The sequence below is a fragment of the Homo sapiens genome, chromosome 1 (genome assembly GCF_000001405.40).
Source record: "Homo sapiens chromosome 1, GRCh38.p14 Primary Assembly".
NCBI classification, from domain to species: Eukaryota; Metazoa; Chordata; class Mammalia; order Primates; family Hominidae; genus Homo; species Homo sapiens.
Genome location: NC_000001.11, coordinates 39,132,847 through 39,154,450, shown reverse-complemented (window position 1 = coordinate 39,154,450; position 21,604 = coordinate 39,132,847). Strand labels below are relative to the sequence as shown.

At 42.1% G+C, this 21,604-nt stretch overlaps 1 protein-coding gene and 1 pseudogene across 1 annotated transcript in view, besides 5 other annotated features; one reads left to right on the top strand and one right to left on the bottom strand.

Moving 5' to 3' along the window:
• The window catches only part of MACF1 (microtubule actin crosslinking factor 1), a 402,972-nt gene that overhangs the window by 332,688 nt on the left and 48,680 nt on the right, over positions 1-21,604 (bottom strand). The window lies entirely within an intron of this gene.
• On the top strand, positions 155-287 carry RNA5SP44 (RNA, 5S ribosomal pseudogene 44; annotated as a pseudogene).
• Positions 11,829-12,568: an enhancer, noted in NCBI's record as "OCT4-NANOG-H3K27ac hESC enhancer chr1:39607555-39608294 (GRCh37/hg19 assembly coordinates)". NCBI's record gives its function as "activates a minimal SCP1, AML or CMV promoter by ChIP-STARR-seq in primed H9 embryonic stem cells {active_cell/tissue: H9 hESC(primed)}" and the evidence as "EXISTENCE:reporter gene assay evidence [ECO:0000049][PMID:30033119]".
• Positions 12,653-13,476: an enhancer, noted in NCBI's record as "H3K27ac hESC enhancer chr1:39606647-39607470 (GRCh37/hg19 assembly coordinates)". NCBI's record gives its function as "activates a minimal SCP1, AML or CMV promoter by ChIP-STARR-seq in naive H9 embryonic stem cells {active_cell/tissue: H9 hESC(naive)}" and the evidence as "EXISTENCE:reporter gene assay evidence [ECO:0000049][PMID:30033119]".
• Positions 13,477-14,301: an enhancer, noted in NCBI's record as "H3K27ac hESC enhancer chr1:39605822-39606646 (GRCh37/hg19 assembly coordinates)". NCBI's record gives its function as "activates a minimal SCP1, AML or CMV promoter by ChIP-STARR-seq in naive H9 embryonic stem cells {active_cell/tissue: H9 hESC(naive)}" and the evidence as "EXISTENCE:reporter gene assay evidence [ECO:0000049][PMID:30033119]".
• Positions 19,787-20,554: an enhancer, noted in NCBI's record as "H3K4me1 hESC enhancer chr1:39599569-39600336 (GRCh37/hg19 assembly coordinates)". NCBI's record gives its function as "activates a minimal SCP1, AML or CMV promoter by ChIP-STARR-seq in primed H9 embryonic stem cells {active_cell/tissue: H9 hESC(primed)}" and the evidence as "EXISTENCE:reporter gene assay evidence [ECO:0000049][PMID:30033119]".
• Positions 21,040-21,334: an enhancer, noted in NCBI's record as "tiled region #301; K562 Activating non-DNase unmatched - State 12:CtcfO". NCBI's record gives its function as "activates a minimal TATA promoter and a strong SV40 promoter by Sharpr-MPRA in K562 cells {active_cell/tissue: K562}" and the evidence as "EXISTENCE:reporter gene assay evidence [ECO:0000049][PMID:27701403]".

Sequence of the window (21,604 nt, the reverse complement as noted above, 5' to 3'; positions counted from 1 at the left end):
CTGGACAGCAAGATCAAGGAATTCATTCAATCATTCATCCCACATATATCTGTTGAATGCTTACCAGGTAGGAGGCACTGACCTACATGCTAGAACCCAGAACTCAGAGTCTCACCAGAGGGAGAGCAGGACGAAAAAAATATGGCAGTGTCTCGTCCACGGCCATACCACCCTGAACACGCCTGATCTCGTCTGATTTTGGAAGCTGAGCAGGGCCAGGCCTGGTTAGTACTTGGATAGTAGAAATGGCAGTGTCTCCTCAGATTCAAAGATGAGGGTCATGGGGTCATCAAACTAAGGGCACAGCTGACTTCCAACTGCTCACTCTTCAGACAAACCCTGAAGAAATTTAAGAACAGAAAAGGTAACTCTCCTCATATAAATACACTGATTTTCTTTGAGGCAGAACTGACATCCTGACAACCAGTTGCTACTATTATCCCAAAGCAGCTGCTAACCCAGGAAACAGCAAAAATGTCTCCAGTGACTTAAGGAGCCAGTAACAAAAGCAGGTGCCAGGTTCAGGGACCTATTCAGGGAGCAACAAAGATCACTTTCTTCATTGTCTCCCCCTGGCAGCAGTGTCTGGTGGAGAGAAGCGTTGAATTACACCTTGTCCTTCTGGTCTGCTGGACAGAAAATGAGTTTGCCATTTGAAGAAAGGGCTGTCCCCAGGGCCACAGCTGCCTCTGCAGGGCTGAAGAAAGGAAGACAAAAAAAGTCAGGCTTCATACTTCGAAGGAAAGGGCTGAAATGGCAAGACCAAGTGAGGCTTTAAAGGAAATTAAGTGTAGGTCTGGCAAAAAGGGTACGAAGAGCTCTGCTCACCCTGTGGCCACCCCAGGCCTGGGTAATTACTTCACGTGGATTAGACCTATGCTTCACGGCCCAACAAGAGGCTTTAAAAGAGCCCATGCTTTAGGCTACAGACCCTCGAATAAGCTCACTCTCGTTGAGCCTTTTCTTTTTGGCTGTGGGTCCAAGGAGAAATGGTTGGCTCCTTTGAGTCCTTTCCTCCCTAAGGTGCTTATGTAATACTAAGAGATCAAATGAGGTAAGAAGCACTGAGCAACTGAGAGAGAAGGCAAAAACACTTGCTTTTAGGATAAATCTGTACCTATAGGACCTCAGATTCTAGCCCCACCTGAGACTAAGGTTCCCCTCTCAGTTTATAAAATCCCAAAATAACCTAAAAGCCTCACTGCCAGGCATTCTGAGGACCTAGGAAAAGATCAGAGGTAAGAGTCACCTTCCACTGGAACAAGGTTATAGATCTCTAGCAGAGAGATGGAAGGGTAGGAAATTGATTTCCACAAAGGCATATTGAAACAGTCAGGTGTAACAGAGGTCAGGTCAACAGCTTCCTACCACCCGCAAGAACAGTTTCTCTCATCAACTCCATCAAAACCCAGAGGATACAGCTGCACCACTAAGTCAGCTAAAGATCAGTGCCTGCTTAGGAGAACTACATTTGGTTATTCTGAAAAACCTAGTGGAAGAAAAGTGCTTACTGGCTCAACTCACCTGGGCTGTTCTGCCAGCAAATCAAACAAGTCTCTAGAAACATAGGCCACCAACTGCCTTTTTTTTTTTAATTTGTTTAAGTCACTTGGTTTGTGATAAAGTTCTGGTAGCATTCTTTTGTTGCTTTTGAGTAGAGGAAGAAGGCAAAATAAACATTTTTCAAAAGTCAGATTCCAGACACCAAAAATAACATAACGGAATTTTCCTCTGAAGCTGCCTTTTGCTAACAATGAGGCTATATTTAAAAAGAAAGTCCAAGATAGAATGTATGGTGGCACCTCCAGAATGGTAGTGTATGAATTCTGAGGAACTTTTTTACTGTGACGTCTAAGATAAAATTCTGTGGGAGAACATCACAATGTTGAGGAAGTGCTAAAAGCACCTAACAGGGAGAACGTCAATGAGGGTGTCAACATCTGTTTAAAAAGTAGTGGGTACATATGTATCTGCTATACATTTTCTGTACTTGTCTATATGCTTGAAATATACAAAATTAACAATTACAGCAATGTGACTAGAAATATTCCATGGAGTTTAAAAAAGAAAAAAAAATTAAAGCAATGAATCAAATTATCCATCAAATTTACAAGTACACATACCTTTTGAAACAGCAATTCACATTTAAGAATTTTACCTAAAGATATACACTGTGCACGCCGGGCACAGTGTTGCATGCCTGTAATCCCAGCACTTTGGGAGGCCAAGGTGGGCGGATCACAAAGTCAGGAGATCCAGACCATCCTGGCCAACATGGTGAAACCCCATTTCTACTAAAAATACAAAAATTAGCTGAGCATGGTGGTGGGCATCTGTAATCCCAGCTACTTGGGAGGCTGAGGCAGGAGAATCGCTTGAACCTGGGAGGTGGAGGTTGCAGTGAGCTGAGATTGCGCCATTGCACTCCAGCCTAGGTAACAAGAGCAAAACTCCGTCTTAAAAAAAAATAAAAAATATATATATTTTATAAAAGACAAGAATGTGAGTTCTGAATCCTGATCCCAGTACTGCCACTGAACACATACCCTTCTTAATCATTCATATACTCAACAAGCAGTTTTTTATTCACTACCCTGTGCCAAATTTGTAGAGCACTGATGGAAATGAAGAGCTCTCAGTCTCTTTCCTCTCTCAGCTTATAATCTAGTAAGGGAGACAAACAAGTAACCTAACACATAATATGGTACAACTAATGCAGATAAAGATATACAGAAGCAAAGCAAAAAGGAAGCCTAGTGGCCTAGGTAAGGATTTCCAAAGGAGATGATGCTTGAACTGGGACCTCAGGGCCACAGAGAATTAAGAGTGAGGGGAACAGGGTGTTTCAGACAGAGGAAACAAAGTAGAAACATGAGCAAACATGAAGCATTTAAGCAACTCAATTTAATATGGCTAGAATGTAGGGTGCTTTCTACTTCGGAAGAATAATGGCAGGAAATGAAAGCTTTGCATGCCATGCTAAAGAAACCAGATTCACCCCAAAGACAATGGAAACCCATTGCAAGGGCTTCCGAGTGACTATTTTTATAATCAGATTTTAATTTTAGAAAGAGCATTCTGGCAGTAACGAAAAGGAAGGGAGGAAACCAATTAGGACACTATAGATACAGAATCTGAACTAAGAAAGTACTACTGTTATCAAAACAAAGGAAAGGACACAGATTTGAAACGAAATTATACAGCATTTGATCGCTGTTTTATTTGAATTGGGGTCTGGTAGGGTGTATGGACAAAGAGAAGGAAGATTATCAAATGATTCCCAAATATCTCATTTGTGTGCCTGGATAGAAGATAGTACCTTAAATAAAGTAAGGAGTAAGAGAGAGAAAAGCAGGTTTGCCAGAGTGAAGGGTTTCATCTGGAACATGTTGAGTCAAAGACACCTACAGGATATCCAAAAGAAGTCCTCTAGCTCTCAGAGATAAAATCTTGGAGCTCGGAAGAGAAAACTGGCCCAGAGTCACCACAGCAGTTGAAGCCATGAGTACAAATAAGATCACTCATGAAAACTATGTAGAGTGCCAAGGACAAAATCCTAGAAAGTATCTTTCTTTAAAGGTGAACAAAGGGAAGATAAATACGAAAATGAGGAAGAAAGAAAATCAGGAGAGGATAAAATCACAAAAGGTTAGGGAAGGAGAAACTTTTAAGGAGAATGGAGTGTTTCATAGTGTCAAGTACCACAGAAAGGTCAAGTAAGATCAGAGCTGAAAATTTACCATTGGATTTGGCAATTAGGAGGTGACTGGTGACCTTGACAACTGCAATTTCAGTGTAGCAGAGAGGGTTGGAAGCTAAAAGGCAGGTATATACCATTCTTCAAGAATCTTGGAGGAAACAAAGAACACGGCTGTGAAAGGGGATTCTCACTTAACATCTTTTGTTTTCCACTCCCCCTCCCATAATATGTTTGAGTATTTAAGAAAAATAAAGAGGAAAATGCACATAAAATAATGTTAACATTTAGTAGGTATTAGGTGTAGAATGACAATAATCCACTGTATTATTACCATTACTTTAAGCAGATTCCATTTACTTTGTAAATCACCAAATATTTTTTGACACTGTGCAAAATACAGAACTAGTAATGTGAGAGACAAAAAAGAGTTTATGCCAGGCACGGTGGCTCACACCTGTAATCCCAGCACTGTGGGAGGCCAAGGTGGGCGAATCGCTTGAGCTCAGGAATTTGAGACCAGCCTGAGCACATGGCAAAACCCCATCTCTAGTAAAAATACAAAAAAATTAGCCAGCCATGGTGACATGCGCCTGTAACCCCAGCTACTTGGGAAGCTGGGGTGGGAGGATTGCTTGAGTGCAGGAGGTTGCAGTGAGCCGAGACTGCACCACTGCACTTCAGCCTGGGTGACAGAGGGAGACAGTCTCCAAAAAAAAAAAAGTTCATGATATAGTCCCAGGTTCTAGGAGTTTAAAATCCTGTAGAAGAAAATAATGCATACATACAAATAGGATGTTAAAGTATAATACAAATGATATGGAAAAAAAATACAACTAGCATTAAGTTTAGAAAACTGGAACTAACTTCCAGTGGAGAGATCAAAGAAGACTTCCTACAGGGCTTTGAGGCAGGTGGTGAACAATGGGATAAGATTAAGACAGTTTTGTCTGGCTTAGAAGTGAGAAAGTGGTTGGAGAGGAGGCTAGAGAGGCAATTATGGAGGACTTTAAATATCGGGCTGGGATGACTGAACCCTGGCTCTCTTCTTATTGCAGCTCTGTAGTGCCAAGTGCTTGAACATTTCCACCGGAGCATGTCACAGCAAACAGAACTGAAATTACTAAAAGTGAATCCGTATCTTTCCTCCCAAAATCAATGCCTCCTTTTATTTTTTATTTTATTTTATTTTATTTATTTATTTTTATTTTTATTTTTATTTTTTTGAGACGGAGTCTCACTCTATCACCCAGGCTTCAGTGCAGTGGCACGATCTCGGCTCACAGCGACCTCCGCCTCCCCGGTTCAAGTGATTCTCCTGCCTCACCTCAGCCTCCCGAGTAGTTGGGATTACAGGCACGCACTGCCATGCCTGGCTATTTTTTGTCTTTTTAGTAGAGACGGGGTTTCACCATACTGGTCTCGAACCCCTGACCTCAAGTGATCCCCCAACCTCGGCCTCTCAAAGTGCTGGGATCACAGGTGTGCCACCACATCCAGCCAATGCCTCCTTTTAATTTCCCACTTCAAGTAATGGCACTACCCTTTACCCAACCCATTCTCAAATCCTATCAGTTCCTGCAAATACCTCTCCCAGTCATCCTCTTCTGTATTCAAGAGTCACTCTCTCCGGCATTCAAGAGTCACCCTCTCCCTTCTGATCCTCATTACCTCTGACCTGGATTGTTAGAACAGCCTCAAAAAAACTGACTTTCCTTATCCAATTCATGTTGCACATGCTGCTATATTAATATTCCTAGAAACACAGCCTTAATTAAATCATTCCAATGTATAAAACCTCCAACGGCAACATAAAATCAACCAAAGGGGGAAAAAAATCTCAATGAAATGTAAAACCCAACCACATGGTAAAACTTTTATGGAGAGTAGTTTGGCAAAAGTTTTTTAAAGTATACAAATAACTTTTGACTCAGCAATTCCATTCTTAGGAATTTATCTTTTTAAAAATACAGTTAAGTGTGCAAATATATACATGTAAGTATATTGATCTCATTGTTCATAACACCAAACAGTGCAAAATTACCTAAAAGTCCAACAACAGAAGACTGTCTCAAGTGCAATGCATCCATACAAGAGAATACTGATAGCAACATATTAATAAATGATGCTGATACATATTTTTGACACTGAAAGACTTTCAACATACACTAAGTGAAGAAACATGTTACAAACTGTTTTTTTCCAAATATGTATTGCATGCATATTTGCACATGAAAATATTTGAAAGAAAACATCAAAATATTTACAGCAGTTATAAATGGTAGGATTTTTGGTCACTTTAATTTTATATTTTTATTTATTATTTTAAAATCTTCCTACAACAAACATGAATATTTTATGAAGTAAAAAGGGGAGGGGAGATTCTGCCACAACCAATATCCAACAGTAGCATAACTCTTTCAGATTTTTCTAAACATTCTTTATCTGGAGAAAGCAGGAACTCTATATACAGCCCAACAATTCTACAAATTGTTATGGCACCAAAAAACAAAGATGAAGAAAGTACAGCCTGCAGTCACTGAACTCATGGTCTAGGGGAGGCTGACAATTAAACAGAAAACTGTAAAATAAGATGATAAATACTATCACAAAGGATGTACATCCTACCATAAGAACTCAGATGAAAAGGTAAGTGAAATTTTTTACTGGTTGGGGTAGAAGGAAAGAAGCAGGAACACCATTAAAATCTATTAAGTTTTGAGTTGGGACAAAAGATTACAGTATGAACAAGCATTTGTGAGGCAGAAAAAGTAAAAAGATCATTCAAGGCATAGAAAACAACATAAACAAGGGGTGAAACTGATCATCAGTTTTTAAGAGGAAATGTGGCATGACCACTGGCATAAATCAAAGAAGACGAGGGTCTAAAATAGGGCAGTGAGTCTAGCCAGGAAACAATATCTGTTGAGATATTTTTCAGCTAGACAAACAGAACTTAGTGTCCAATCAGATGTGGAAAATAAATAGGGCCAAGTGGGGTGGCTCATGCTTATAATCCCAGCACTTTGAGGGGCCAAGGCAGAAGGACTGCTTGAGGCCAGGAGTTCGAGACCAGCCTTGGTTGTGTGTGCCTGTAGGCCCAGCTACATGAGGGGTGAGGCAGGAGGAGAGCTTGAGCCTGGGATGTTCAGGTTGCAGTGAGCTATGATTGTGCCACTGTACTCCAGCCTGGGCAACAGAGCAAGACCCTGTTGAAGAAGAAAGAAGGAAAAGAAAGGAGGAAAAGAAAGAAAGAAGGGAAAGAAGGAAGGAAGGGAGGGGAAAAAAGAGGAAAGAAAAGAAAGAGGAAAGAAAGGAAAGGAAAGGGAAAAGAGAAGGAAAAAGAAAAGGGAAGGAAGGAAAGAAGGGGAAGGAAAGGAAAGAGAAAAGAGAAGGAAAATGAAAAGAGAAGGAAAAAGAAAAGGAAGGAAGGAAGGAAAAAAGAGGAAGAAAAGGAAAGAGAAAAGAGAAGGAAAAAGAAAAGAGAAGGAAGGAAGGAAAAGAGAGAGGAGAGAGGAAAGGAAGAAAAGGGAAAAGGGGAAGGTGAGGAGAGGAGAGACGAGAAAGGAGAAAGAAGAAAGGAGGGGAAAGGGGAATGGGAAAAAGGGAAAGGGGAAAGGAAAGGGAAAAGAAGAAAAGAAGGAGGGAGGGAGGAAGGGGAGGAGGAGGAGAGGAAGAGAGAGAAGGAGGAGGAGAGGAACAGGAGGAGGAGAAGAAGAAGGAAGGAAGAAGGAAAAGAAGAAGAAGAAAATAAACAAAGACAAATATTTGTGGGTACTCAGTAGGTGTATATATTTATGGGTTACATGAGATATTTTCATACAGGCATGCAATGTATACTAATCACATCAGGGTAAATAGGGTATCCATCACCTCAAGCAATTTGTGTTTCAAACAATCCAATTAAACTCTTTTAGTTATTTTTAAATGAATAATTAAATTATTTTTACTATAGTCACCTTGTTGTGCTAGCAAATACTAGGTTTTATTTAGTCTTTTTATTTTTTTGCATCCATTAACCATCCCCCACTTCCCTGTGACCCCATCCCCCCTTCCCAACTTCTGGTAACCATCTTTCTACTCTCTATCCTCATGAGTTCAATTATTTTAATTTTTAGTTCCCACAAATAAGTAAGAACATGCAATGTTTGTCATTCTGTGCCTGGCTTATTTCGCTTAACATAATGTCCTCCAGTTCCATCCATGTTGTTGTAAATGACAGAATGTCATTCTTTTTTATGGCCGACTAGTACTCTATTGTGTATATGTACATTTTCTTTCTTTCTTTCTTTTTTTTTTTTTTTGGGAGAGGAGACAGAGTCTTGCTCTGTCACCTAGGCTGGAGTGCAGTGACGTAATCTCAGCTCACTGCAACCTTCACCTTCCAGGTTCAAGCAATTCTCCTGCCTCAGCCTCCCGAGTAGCTGGGACTACAGGTGTGCGCCACCATACCTGGCTAGTTTTTGTATTTTTAGTAGAGATGGGGTTTCGCCATGTTGGCCAGGCTTGTCTTGAACTCCTGACCTCAAATGATCCACCCACCTCAGCCTCCCTAAGTGCTGGGATTATAGGCGTGAGCTACTGTGCCCGGCCCACATTTTCTTTATCTATTCATCTGTTGATGGACACTTAGGTGGCTTCCAAATCTTGGCTATTGTGAACAGTGCTGTAATAAACATGTGAGTCCAGATAGCTCTTCAATATACTGATTTCCTTTCTTTTGGGTATAAACCTAAGGAGTGGGGTTACTGGACTGTATGGTAGCTCTATTTTTAGTTCTCCAAACCATTCTCCATAGTGGTTGTATAAGCTGAATTTTGGATACATTACATGCAAATTTCTGTAGGCTACAAAGTGGAAAAGGAGAGTAGTCATTTGGAAATACAAGTTTGGACCTGGGGGAAAAGCTCATACAATAGGTAGTTACAGATTCTGACAAGAGAGTCATCACTGTACACACAGATGAAATTCCTAAATGAAATCACCAGAGTAGGTCAACTCATCCAGAGATAGCACACAGTCAGGGAAGGAAAGAGGTCCAAATGGTGTCAGATGCTGTGACAAGATGAAACAGCGTGAGAACAAAAAGAGGCTGCTGAGTTCTGCAAGCAAGTCATCACAAACAAGAGCCTTTCATTGGGATGGTGGGCACAAACCTTGGCTATAGTGGCTCACGATGACTAAAGAAGTAGAAGAAAGGCTGTTGAGGTAGTTTGGTGGTAAAGAAAAAAAAAGCACAGAGAGTTAGTCTGAAGAAGAGATAAGCTTAAAGGAATTTTTATCTTAGGATGGAGAAAACCTGAATATCTTTACAAAGAGTCACTAGGAAGGGAGGAACTAAGAACACAAAATATATATGTATATGCCCAGAGACCTGCCTCTGAAATAGGAGGGAATGTGGTAAGGACTGGTAAAGCCTACAGATAAATTGAGACGTAAAAGACTAAATTACTTATTGAGAGTTTATAAGGTGGGGTGGAGCAACAAGTTTGAAGAGAATGGTGAAAGACTGGAATGGCTGCTGCAGAAAAAAATGAATGGCAGTCAACCAGAAGAGAATAAAAAGGTTTCAGGATAGGATTGAGAGCCAGGCTGTGGCTAGAGCTCATAAATCTGTAATAGAGTCAGTCAGCACACTGTTATGCAGTGGCACTCAGTAGCTCAGTGGAGAAAATGAACACAGGTCCAGCACTGGGGATAGAAAAGGCGTGGAAGAAAAAAAAGAGATCTGAGAATGCCAGTACGAGCCCTATTGTACATGATAGGTCAGGAAGCACTGACACCATAAAGGGGCTGACAGACTGGGAAACAGCAGAGAACAGGTTTAATGTGCATAAAGGAAAGGATAAGTGGAAAAAAGGAGGTTGTGACCAGATTCTGGGATGTCTAGGAGGAATGGAGCAATTGCACGTCACCTAAAATACCCTCCCCCAAAAAACTTAGTCATCTGTAAGACCAAAACTGGTGAGGCACAGTGGTTCACACCTGTAATCCCAGCACTTTGGGTGGCCAAGGAGAGAGGATCATTTAAGCCCAGGAGTTTGAGACCAGCCTGGGCAACATAGTGAGACCTTGTCTCTATTTGAAAAAAAAAAAAGACCAAAATTGATGCCACGCTGATTTCCAGGCCATGCTCTGATATATAAACTAGTTCTTCAAATGGGGCTGACACCTCACACGTTGTTAGAAGGGAATTCCAATGAGAGAGTGGCAGGGTGAAGTTCTCCTCTAAGCTTCTTCCTTCCTTAAGATTTGATCTGGATCTCTGGGTGCAGTATCAATAACTTCAATAACTTTTCTTTTTACTGACTAGAAGATTATGAGAGTTCTCATGAATATGGAGTTGCTAAAAATAAAAGTTTAAGAAATTTCCAGCTGGGGGCGGTGGCTTACCCCTATAATCCCAGCACTTTGGGAGGCCGAGGCAGGTGGATCACCTGAGGTCAGGAGTTCGGGACCAGCCTGGCCAACATGGTGAAACCCCGCTTCTCCTAAAAATACAAAAATTAGCTGGGGGTGGTGGCAGGCACCTGTAATCCCAACTACTTGGGAGGCTGAGGCAGGAGAATCGCTTGAACCTGGGAGGCGGAAGTTGCAGTGAGCCGAGATCGTGCCATTGCACTCCAGCCTAGGCAACAGAGCAAGACTCCGTCTCAAAAAAAAAAAAAAAAAAGCGCCGTGGCTCACACCTGTAATCCCAGCACCTTGGTGGCCGAGGCGGGCGGATCACGAGGTCAGGAGATCAAGATCATCCTGGCTAACACAGTGAAAGCCCATCTCTACTAAAAATGAAAAAAAATTAGCTAGGCATGGTGGCTGGTGCCTGTAGTCCCAGCTACTCCAGAGGCTGAGGCAGGAGGCTGAGGCAGGAGAATGGTGTGAACCCAGGAGGCGGAGCTTGCAGTGAGTGAAGATCGCGCCACTGCACTCCAGCCTGGGCGACAGAGCAAGACTCCATCTCAAAAAAGGAAAGAAAAGAAAAGAAAAAGAAATTGCCTAATTGCTGGCTTGGCAATTCCCTCAGGGTCTTGAAACTAGCCAATGTAGGACAACTGTCACTGTCCTTCCCAGAGCCTTGGATCTTTCCCCCAGTGGTAAGATGTAACAGTAAGGGCAACCTGCATAAGAAGTATACTTAACAGAGAGGCAGAAGTTGGGGTCTGCAAATAACATAAGTAACCTCCAGGATGAGGGTGGGAAAGTGAGTTTACTTCCTTTCACTGCAAATGGAAAGACTGAATCTAATCCTTGAGCCCTTACCTCACAAGGGCAGGAAACCCTAAACAAGCCACTTGCTCATTCTCTACAGATCTGGCCTCTCCTCTATCCTATTATCCTGGCCTGATACAAAAAGGAAAAGAGATTCCAATCCTCTCCAAGATGTTACAAATGAACCAGACATTGCCACCAGAAAGTGTATCTTTGATACACCAAAAGGTATATCAAAAGCTAGCTTGTATCAATAATTCACTCTAAGAGCCCCAACTTGCTTCCAAATCTTTTCGTATAGCCCACAGACAAGGGGTACAATGATTATGAAAAGTAACTTCTGATATTAAGGTACATTGATAGAAAGAATAAAAATTCAAGGGTTAGTTGACTATCTTGATAAGCATCTAGAATGTGGCTACCACAATCAGCCTGATCTGCCATTCCATTTGGACTGAGATGGGCCCTCCTGTGTAAGATAGAAAAAGTGACTCCAAATGTTTGTTTAATGCAGCTCTGGTTCACCTTCACTCGGGTCACCGCCTTCCTTTGCTCACAAACACTTAATTGTCCCTGAAAAGTAGGTCAGCGCCTTGTGGAACAAGCTGGAAGGAGAGCTAAGACCCAGCCTATCACTCCAACAGGCTTGGAGAGGCCCAAGCTGTGTCTAGGAGACCAAAACCAGTCAACAGTGCATTATGCCAAGAGTGCTCCAGGTGCTCCAGGTGGTAACCTGGCTACTGCCATTCCTAGGTGGTGACTCAGCAGGTTGGGAAAGCAGAAGATGCAGGATGCAGGGCTGAGGCTCATGTCAGCCTGGCAAATACTTGTTCCACTCTGATAGCTAATGAGGTGTCCCTAATTAGCCATCAGAATGGAAGGAGCAAGAGGTGAACAATCAGAATGCTAAACTCTCTTCCACTGTCCATATGGTCCCTTCTGTAGAATACCAAGCATTGCTCAACCATAAATGGAGCTGCCTGAGCTTCTCCCCACTCCTTCCCCCAAATATTTTCTTCAGGGCACCCAAAAATAAACACTGCTCCTTACCCATGAGCTAGAGGTACATTCATAGCACTGTAAGCTGTCATTTGGAGTATACTTGATGAAGGTGTTAAATTTTTTTTAACAGGATACATCTTGTTCCTGGGCCCAAATACTCCATCCATCCAGGATTTTAAGGTGGGAGAGACTCCCCCATCAAATTTCCTCTAACCTCAAATTGGTTAGTTCACTAAATATAGGATATTGCTTCAAAGCAAAAAAGAAGGGGCCCAGGGAGATGAGGCAACAGGAGGCTGGCAGTTTGGGAAATAGCTACCAGAGGGTCAGCTGTCCAGCTGTCTCTGGAATCTGAAGACTTCCAAACCTAACAACTGCCTTTCTCAGGAAGAATCAAAACTATGTGAGGCAGCTGTGGAGGATAAAGGCAGCAGAGCCCAACTTCTGAAGCCAGTAGCAAATCACTTCCTTAGCCACTGTTCCCCACAAAAAGCAAATGCTGCCGGAACTGCCTGCAGACCAGATACCAGCTCTAAGAAAGAGAAATGGGAAAAGGAGTCAGTTATCTCTTTGGCAAACAGAGAGCACAGGCACCTTCCTCTATCTCCCTCAAGTTCTCAGGTAATAATACCAAAACCACTGGCAATTCCAACCTTTCTAAATTCTGACTATATAACTTTCCATTATCTTCTAGTTTCATGTACCTTTCCTCCTCCTGGTCTCCCACTACCCACCATATCCCCCAAGATACACGCATTTCATCTTTCCAAATCTAAGGTAGAATCAGAACCATGTAAACTAATACCTGAATTTGTACTTTTTAAAATTATTAGATTTAAGTCTAATAACTAGACTCTAAAATCTACAAGGCAAGAAACATGTCCTATCCCCATTACTGTAGCTAAGACTGCATGCTTACTACAAACCAAGCACCATTTTAAGCACTTTACATGTTATTTCATTCAATCTCCGTCAGAATCCTATGATATATGTGGTAACAGTAAAACACTTTACAGATGAGAACTGAAGCACAGAAAGGTTCAAGAACTTGCCCAAGTTCAGTTAATAAATGGCAGAGCTGAGATTCAAACCTCAGCAGCTTGAGTCCATGCTCTTAACACCTATATGCTACACCAAGTGGTCCCCAGACCAGCAGCATCAGCATCTCCTGGGAACTTGTTAGAAATATAATTTCTCAAGCCCCACCCCAGACCTACTGAATCAGAACTGAGGATGGGACCCAGCAATCTGTGTTTTAACATGCCCTGCAGGTGATTCTGACGCAGGCTCAAGAGTATATTCAACAAGTTATGCTGCTTCTGCTTTTCATTCTTTGAGCTACACCCAAGACAGACAGGCATTCAGGAGGAATTTAACAGCGTGAAAATATTATGAACAACTGATTATAGCATAATGTTTGAGTACATGAGAATTCTAGAGCAAATTGTGAAACCTAACTCTGCTGCTTAACAGCTGTGTGTCCCTGGGCAAATCACTATGCCCTCCTGTTCTTCAGTTTACTCCAGTGTAAAATGGAGATAGGTTCTAAGGATTAAATTAGTTAATTTGACATAAAGCATTTATAACAGTGACTGGCACTTTTTTTTTTTTTTTTTTTTTTTTTTTTTGAGACAGAGTCTCACTCTGTCACCCAGGCTGGAGTGCAGTGGTGCAATCTCGGCTCACTGCAACCTCCGCCTCCTGGGTTCAAGAGATTCTCCTGCTTCAGCCTCCCAAGTAGCTGGGATTACAGACGTGTGCCACCAAGCCCTGCTAATTTTCGTATTTTTAGTAGAGACGGGGTTTCACCATGTTGGCCAGGATAGTCTTGATCTCCTGACCTCGTGATCCGCCTGCCTCAGCCTCCCAAAGTGCAGGGATCACAGGCGTGAGCCACCGTGCCCAGTTGCCCGGCACTTATTAAGTGCCCTATAAGCTCTTATTAACTATGGTCTTTGATCCATTTTACAATTAAATTCAATAAATGTTTATTAGGCATCTATGTGCGAGGCACTGTGCTAGACACATGCATTCATCAACATTTCTTCAACTTGTCAGCCTTTCAGCAATGGTTATTGAAGCCTTATTATACGCAATACTCTGTGCTATGGGATGTCAGAGACAAAGAATAAGGCATTAACTCTTCATCTAAGGACAGTACAAAGTAGTAGGCCAGATGTGACATTTACACAAGTAATTCTAACCCATAGTAGCAAGTGATAAGAATCGTAAGATAGCACTGTTTGGTGGAAAAAACATGGGATTTGAGGTCATAAGATTTAGATTTATGCTAGGTATGATGGCTCATGCCCGTAATCCCAGCACTTTGGAGGACTAACGCAGAAGGATCATTTCAGGTCAGGAGTTCAAGACCAGCCTGGGCAACACAGTGAGACCCCATCTCTACAAAAAACACAAAAATTTAGCTGGGTGTAGTGGCATACACCTATAGTCCTAGCTACTCAGGAGGCTGGAGTGGGACAATCTCTTGAGCCCAGGAGTTTGAGGCTGCTGTGAGCCATGTTTACACCACTGCACTGCAGCCTGTGCAACAGCCAAGACCTTGTCTCTAAAAAAAATTAAAAAAAAAAAAAAAGATTTAGTTCTAATTATGGGTAACCTCAGGCAAGTTACTTAATCTCCTTAAGCCTTAATTTCCTCAGCTGTAAAACAGGAGTGATGAAAAACATCTGTGAGGTTCCAATGAGCTAATACATGTGAAAACATTTTGTAACAGACTCTGAATGTTGTCAGTTATTACTATTACTTTTAAGTGTATTTCTTTCAATAATATTATGTCAGTTCAGAAAGATGATATAACTTGTATCTGAGATAATCAGGGAAGGATCCACAAAAAGTAACATTTGAGATGGATATGTAAGGACCAAATATAATGTAGAAATTAAAGGAAAATGCAGGCACAGGATACAGCATGAGCAAAGGCATGAAAGCAGGAAAGCTAGGAAAAAAAAAAGCAGAAAGCACTAGTTCATTTTAGCTGGAATATAAAGAATAGTGGCAAATTTGGGAGGCTGAGATGGGAGGATCACTTGAGGTCAGGAATTTGAGACCAGCCTGGCCAACATGGTGAAACCCCATCTCTACTAAAAATACAAAAATTAGCTGGACGTGGTAGGGGACACCTGTAATCCCAGTTACTTGGGATGCTGAGGCAGGAGAATCGCTTGAACCTGGAAGGCAGAGGTTGCAGCGACAGAGCGAGACTGTCTGAAAAAAAAAAAAAACAGTGGCAGATAACATTTTAAAAAAGGTAAAGGGTAAACAAGAGGAAAAAAAATCTGTTCAATTTCCCCCCATAAGCAAGCATCTTTGGTAATTCAAGTAGGAATAAATGACGAGACAGTTGATTAAAATTAGTTTTAGTAGTTATCTGTGAATTTGAAGTATTCAGCATGCCTTGTACTCCATTTTCATAGGGTGATTAAGAGCCAGCTACATCATATGCATTAACATGGAATACTCAAAATTACGTAGTTTGTGCAGAAGCCAATTTGAAAATGATACTGTTATTCCTCATCAAAGCTTCTCCAGACAGTTCATAAAAATTATTTGGCCTAGGCCAGGCGCGGTGGCTTACGCCTGTAATCCCAGCACTTTGGGAGGCCAAGGTGGGTGGATCACCTGAGGTCAGGAGTTCGAGACCAGCCTGGCCAACATGGTAAAACCCCATCTCTACTAAAAATACAAAAATTAGCCGGGCATGGTGGCACTCACCTGTAATCCCAGCTACTCAGGAGGCTGAGGCAGGAGAATCACTTGAACCTGGGAGGCGGAGGTTGCAGTGAGCTGAGATTGCGCCATTGCACTACAGCGTGGGTGACAGAGCAAGACTCTGTCTCCAAAAAAAAAATTATTTGGCCTTTAAAACCTTTCAATATCATTATTGAAATGAGAGAAAGCTGTGTTCATCTAACACCAGCCATTTTTCTTTTTTTTTGAGACAGAGTCTCTCTCTGTCGCCTAGGCTGGAGTGCAGTGGCGCGATCTCTGCTCACTGCAAGCTCCGCCTCCCAGGTTCACGCCATTCTCCCACCTCAGCCTCCAGAGTAGCTGGGACTACAGGCACCCGCCACCATGCCCGGCTAATTTTTTTTGTATTTTTGGTAGAGACAGGTTTTCACCATGTTAGCCAGGGTAGTCTCGATCTCCTGACCTTGTGATCTGCCCACCTCGGCCTCCCAAAGTGCTGGGATTACAGGCGTGAGCCACCGCGTCCAGCCTACCACCAGCCATTTTTCAAGTGTTTGTTAGGACCTCTACTCAAATACAACATGAAGTACACTCATTTTTGTTTTGTTTTGTTTTGATTCGTTGTTTTTGTACAAGAAAGTATTTCAACAAGATCCTTGAGTGACAGGTAGCACATAATCCAGAGTAGCACAAATTTGTTGAAATAGAAATTAAAGCTTCCAATACTGTTTCAGACTTTTTTTTTTTTTTTTTTTTTTTGAGATGGAGTCTCGACTGTTACCCAGGCTGGAGTGCAGTGGCACAATCTCGGCTAACTGCAACCTCCGCCTCCCAGGATCAAGCAATCCTCCTGCCTCAGCCTCCCTAGTAGCTGGGATTATAGGCTCGTGCTACCATGCCCGGCTAATTTCTGTATTTTTAGTAGAGATGGGGTTTCTCCATGTTGGCCAGGCTGGTCTCAAACTCGCGACCTCAGGTGATCCACCTGCCTCGGCTTCCCAAAGTGCTGGGAATACAGGCATGACCCACCACGCCTGGCCTCAGACAAATTTTTTTAAGTTTTGTATGTTCATATAGTTGAATGAGATAATGCAATACTTTTAATTGAGCAATCCTTACTTGCTTGCCAAAGAGCATCTGAAGGTAAAAAAATAAAAAATAAATAAATTGGGGCACAGTGGCTCATGCCTATAATCCCAGCTCTTTGGGAGGCCAGGGCAGAAGGATGGCTTGAGCCCAGGAGTTTGAGACCAGCCTGGGCAATAAAATGAGACTTCGTCTTTACAAAAAATTTAAAAATTAGCCAGGTGTAATGGCACATGCCTGTAGTCTCAGATACTTGAGAAACTGAGGTGGGAGGATCTGTTGAGCCTGGTAGACACGTTACAGTGAGCTATGATTGTGCCACTGCACTCCACTCTGTGCGACAGAGCAAGAACCTGTCTTTAAAAAAATAAAAAAAGACTGGGTATGGTGGCTCACGCCTGTAATCCCAACACTTTGAGAGGCCGAGGCACACAGATCACTTGAGGCCAGAAGTTCGAGACCAGCCTGGCCAACATGGCAAAACCCTGTTTCTAACAAAAATACAAAAATCAGCCAGGCGTGGTGGTGTACATCTGTAATTGCAGTTACTCAGGAGGCTGAGGCATGAGAATCTCTTGAACCTGGGAGGTGGTGGTTGCAGTGAGCCAAGATCGCACCACTGCATTCCAACGTGGGCAACAGAGGGGGCTCTGTCTCAAAATAAAATTAAATTAAATTAAATTAAAAAAATAACAAACTTTGAAAAAAGTCAATTTTTAGTTGACAAAGGGTAAATATAACTTGGTCATGTCAAATATTTTATATTTAAAATCCAACCTTCAGTTTTGCAGAAAGTTGCATGAGGAAAAAACATGAACTTCCAAGAAACAAGTAAAAGTTAAACTTCAAATTTCAAACTGAACACTCTCACGCTTGTCTTTATTCTACTGTCATACAAGTGCCCCCTACTGTCGTTCATATTTAATCTGTTTCTCTAAAATAGATTCTTTTTTAAAATTCATTTTTCTTTAGTAATATGTACATATACAACCTTAGTTGACTAATACTAAATATGGTCTTTATTAATTTAATATAGAATTAATTCACTTTTATTATGCTGACAGCATAAAATCATCCTGAGTAGCTTCTGAGAGACAACTGGTCTCTAGGCATTGGAGGTACAAAAGCAGGTAATATGAGGGTAGGCCAATTTGCACAGGGGGGTGCACTGAGGTGACGTGTCTCTATGTCCATGAGCAACTGGGCAAAAAATCCTAATGCCACTGCAGTCCCCTCAGGCACAGAGCAGGAACTGGGGACAAACCAGTATAAACCACGCCTTCCACCCTATAAACAAACAGGAGAATCCACAGTTGGAGATACAAGGGTTTGGAGGGACTACTGCCTCTCCTCACCCTCCACCCATGTCCAGCATAAGCACAGGACACAGAAGCTAGGCTCCTGGACTTTTTCAGGTCTAACCTGGAAGGCAGAAAAATCACAGCTGGATAGCAGTCTTTCTTCAGAATTTTGGTAGACATTGTAAGAGACTGTCTAAGCTGTCAAGGCCCTTCTGCTAAGGCTCTTTATACTTGGAACTCCTTGGAGACCTCTCACATTATCCTGGACCCGTTTCCAATGCATGCATTCTGGTGGTGGGCTGCATTGAGGGGAACCCAGAGAAGAACATGTAGCTCCCTTACTGTGTCAAGTGTCAATAATGGGATATTTGTGTGTGTGTACATATGTATGTATGTGTGTGTAGAGATATGTGTGTACACATATAGGTACATATATCCTAAAAATACTGCCCTGGAAAGCCAGGTTGGCACACAGTTGGCCGTTCGCTGTACTCATCACCCCTCAGCTATATAGCAATTCTCTCTCAGCCTTCGACCTCTGCAAAACAATCCAAGAGTCTAGATATGTCACCATTCCAAGAATCCCATTCATAGTAGGAGCAAAGGAGAGAGGGAGAGAAGCAAGATAGACAAACTGTAAGCACACAGAGTAGTTTATCACTGAGAAAAATTAGACTAGGAGGCAATTTTTTTTTCCTAGAATTCTGCCAGGTCTGGACCCTCTGTATAGGGTTCAGTAGGTCCATCATTCATCAGACTCCTATCAAAATAGGTCTTGCAAGCAAAACCCAGAGAGACAAAGTCAACACACAAACAAGGATATTGTTCTACTTCATCCTCTTCTCCCCAGCTTTGAAGCCTTTGAACGCACCTTAGACAATCAATTCATTACTATTAAAAATAATCTGGCCGGACGCAGTGGCTCACATCTGTAATCCTAGCACTTAGGGAGGCCGAAACAGGTGATCAAGAGTTCGAGATCAGCCTGGCCAACATGGTGAAACCCCATCTCTACTAAAAAAATACAAAAATTAGTCAGGCATGGTAGCATGCACCTGTAATCCCAGCTACTCGGAAGGCTGAGGCAGGAGAATCACTTGAACCCAGGAGGCGGAGATTACAGTGAGCGGAAATCGCACCATTGCACTCCAGCCTGGGCAACAGAGCAAGACGCTGTCTAAATAAATTAATTAATTAAATAAGATGTCAAAAAAACCCAAAAATAATCATATTATTAGCAAGCCAAGTATCCATCAACAGATGAATGGATAAATAAAATGTGGTAGATACATAAATGGAATATTATTTAGCCTTAAAAAGGAAGGAAATTCTGGCACATGCTACAACATGAATGAACCTTGAGGACATTATGCTACATGAAATGAGCCAGACACAAAAGGACAAATACTGTATGATTCCACTTATATGAAGTACATAGAGTAGTCAAATGCATAGAAACAGAAAGTAGAATTGTGGTTGCCAGGGGCTAAGGAGGGGGAAGGTGAGTTATTGTTTAATGGGTTTGGAATTTTAGTTTGAGAAGATGAAAAAGTTCTAGAGATAGATAATAGTGACGGCTGCACAACAATCAAGTGAATGTACTTGATGCCACTATATTTACCCTTACAGATGGCTAAAATGCTAAATGTTATATTAGTGTATTTTATCATAAAAAAATCAAGCGTATTGTTATTATGACTCCTACTAATAAAAAACAAGCTACAATTACATACTATGTGCCAACCAATGTGTTTTACGTATATTAACTCATTTAACCTTTACAAAAACCCTGCAAGATGGTTATCACCACCAATATTTTACAAATGGGGAATTAGGAAAAGCACACAGTTGAAAGGGGTTACATGACTGTTTAAGACCACAGAGCCAGTAAGACCCAAAGCCAGGGTTCCTTTCCACTGTAAGATGCTGCTTTCTACCCTAGAGGGAAAATGTATCTGATACAACAAAATAAAAGAAAACTGAAAACCCCTGGAGCAAGAAGGCACATGGTCAACAACAGAGGTAAAAGGAAGAATGTACTGTTAAATGTTAGAGGCATGCTCCCTGATTCCACTTATTCTTGTTAAGACTGTTCTTCTGGCCGGGTGCGGTAGCTCATGCCTGTAATCCCAGCACTTTGGGAGGCCGAGGTGGGCGGATCACGAGGTCAGGAGATCGAAACCATCCTGGCTAACACAGTGAAACCCCGTCTCTACTAAAAATACAAAAAAAAAAAATTAGCCGGGCGTGGTGGCGGGCGCCTGTAGTCCCAGCTACTCGGGAGGCTGAGGCAAGAGAATGGCATGAACCCGGGAGGCGGAGCTTGCAGTGAGCTGAGATCCCGCCACTGCACTCTAGCCTGGCGGACAGAGCGAGACCCCATCTCAAAAAAAAAAAAAAAAAAAAAAAAGACTGTTCTTCTGATGATAATATCTAAGAACTTTAAATGCAGCAAATACCTGGCCACGCAAATCCCTAGCAAACTAGGAAAAGCTGTTCGTAGTATTCACAAAACCCAAAAATGAAACTTCTCATAACCTACCTACCATGCAATTCCCTATTTTGTAAGAATTTTTCTGGACTTCTTCAAGGTCAAGAAGAAACCTAATAATTTATTTAAGAAAAAGCAACTCTAGAAAAAATGAATAAGTTCTGGAGATGTATTGTACAGCAAACAATGTATCGTACTTGAAAATTCTGGAAGTAGTAAATCTTAAATATTCTCATCACACAAAACTATGTGAAGTGACAGATGTTAACTAGCTTGATTTAATCATTCCACAATGTTTACATATATCAAAACATCACATTGTACACCATAAAGATATACAATTTTTATATATCAATTATACCTTTATAAAGTTGGGAAAAATAAAAACAGACAGGAAGAAGGAGGAGGAGGAGGAGGAGAAAGGATGAGGAGGAGGACGAGGAAGGAGAAAAGAGAAGAAAAGAAAATCTTATAGTTAAACACACACAACTATAGTAAGAGTCTGTTACAAAATTAAACCCCAGGCCCTCAAACACTAAGCAAAGCTTCACTACAAACAAAAGGGATCACAATGACTGCCTCCCCACTGATCTCTCTTCCAGGTCTCTGCTCTCACTCCAGATGGATCAGGAACAGGCCAGACTGGACGGGTAGCTCTTGGCTAGGAAAACAAGTGGCTGTGCAGGTCCACAGGCGGCGCTGCTTGTTAGCAACCAGCTCCCACCACACCCCATACCCCCAGCCCCAGGGTGGAAGCAGCCAAGTCGGCTAGTGAGGACAGAGGACAGGAAATCTGGACAGCCAGATTCCTGTCCCAGTCTGTGTCACTCAGTCAGGGATCAAGGGGCATCCAGCCAGGTTCCATTCCAAGGGTGGTGTCACTTCCCCCAGGGACTAATAGTTGCTCTCCAGCGGATTTAGGCACAAAAAGGGCTGAGTAGCGGATGTGGCAAGAGCAGAATCCACAGCATGCAGAGCTCCATGAGGGACCGAGCTTTTCTAACCTATGGGGGAGAAGGGGCTCTACCAGTGCAGGTCAAGTAGACACAGCCCAGGAAAGGGATTCGAAACAATCTTCTTAGAGCCTGTGTCTCTCCCATGGGAACA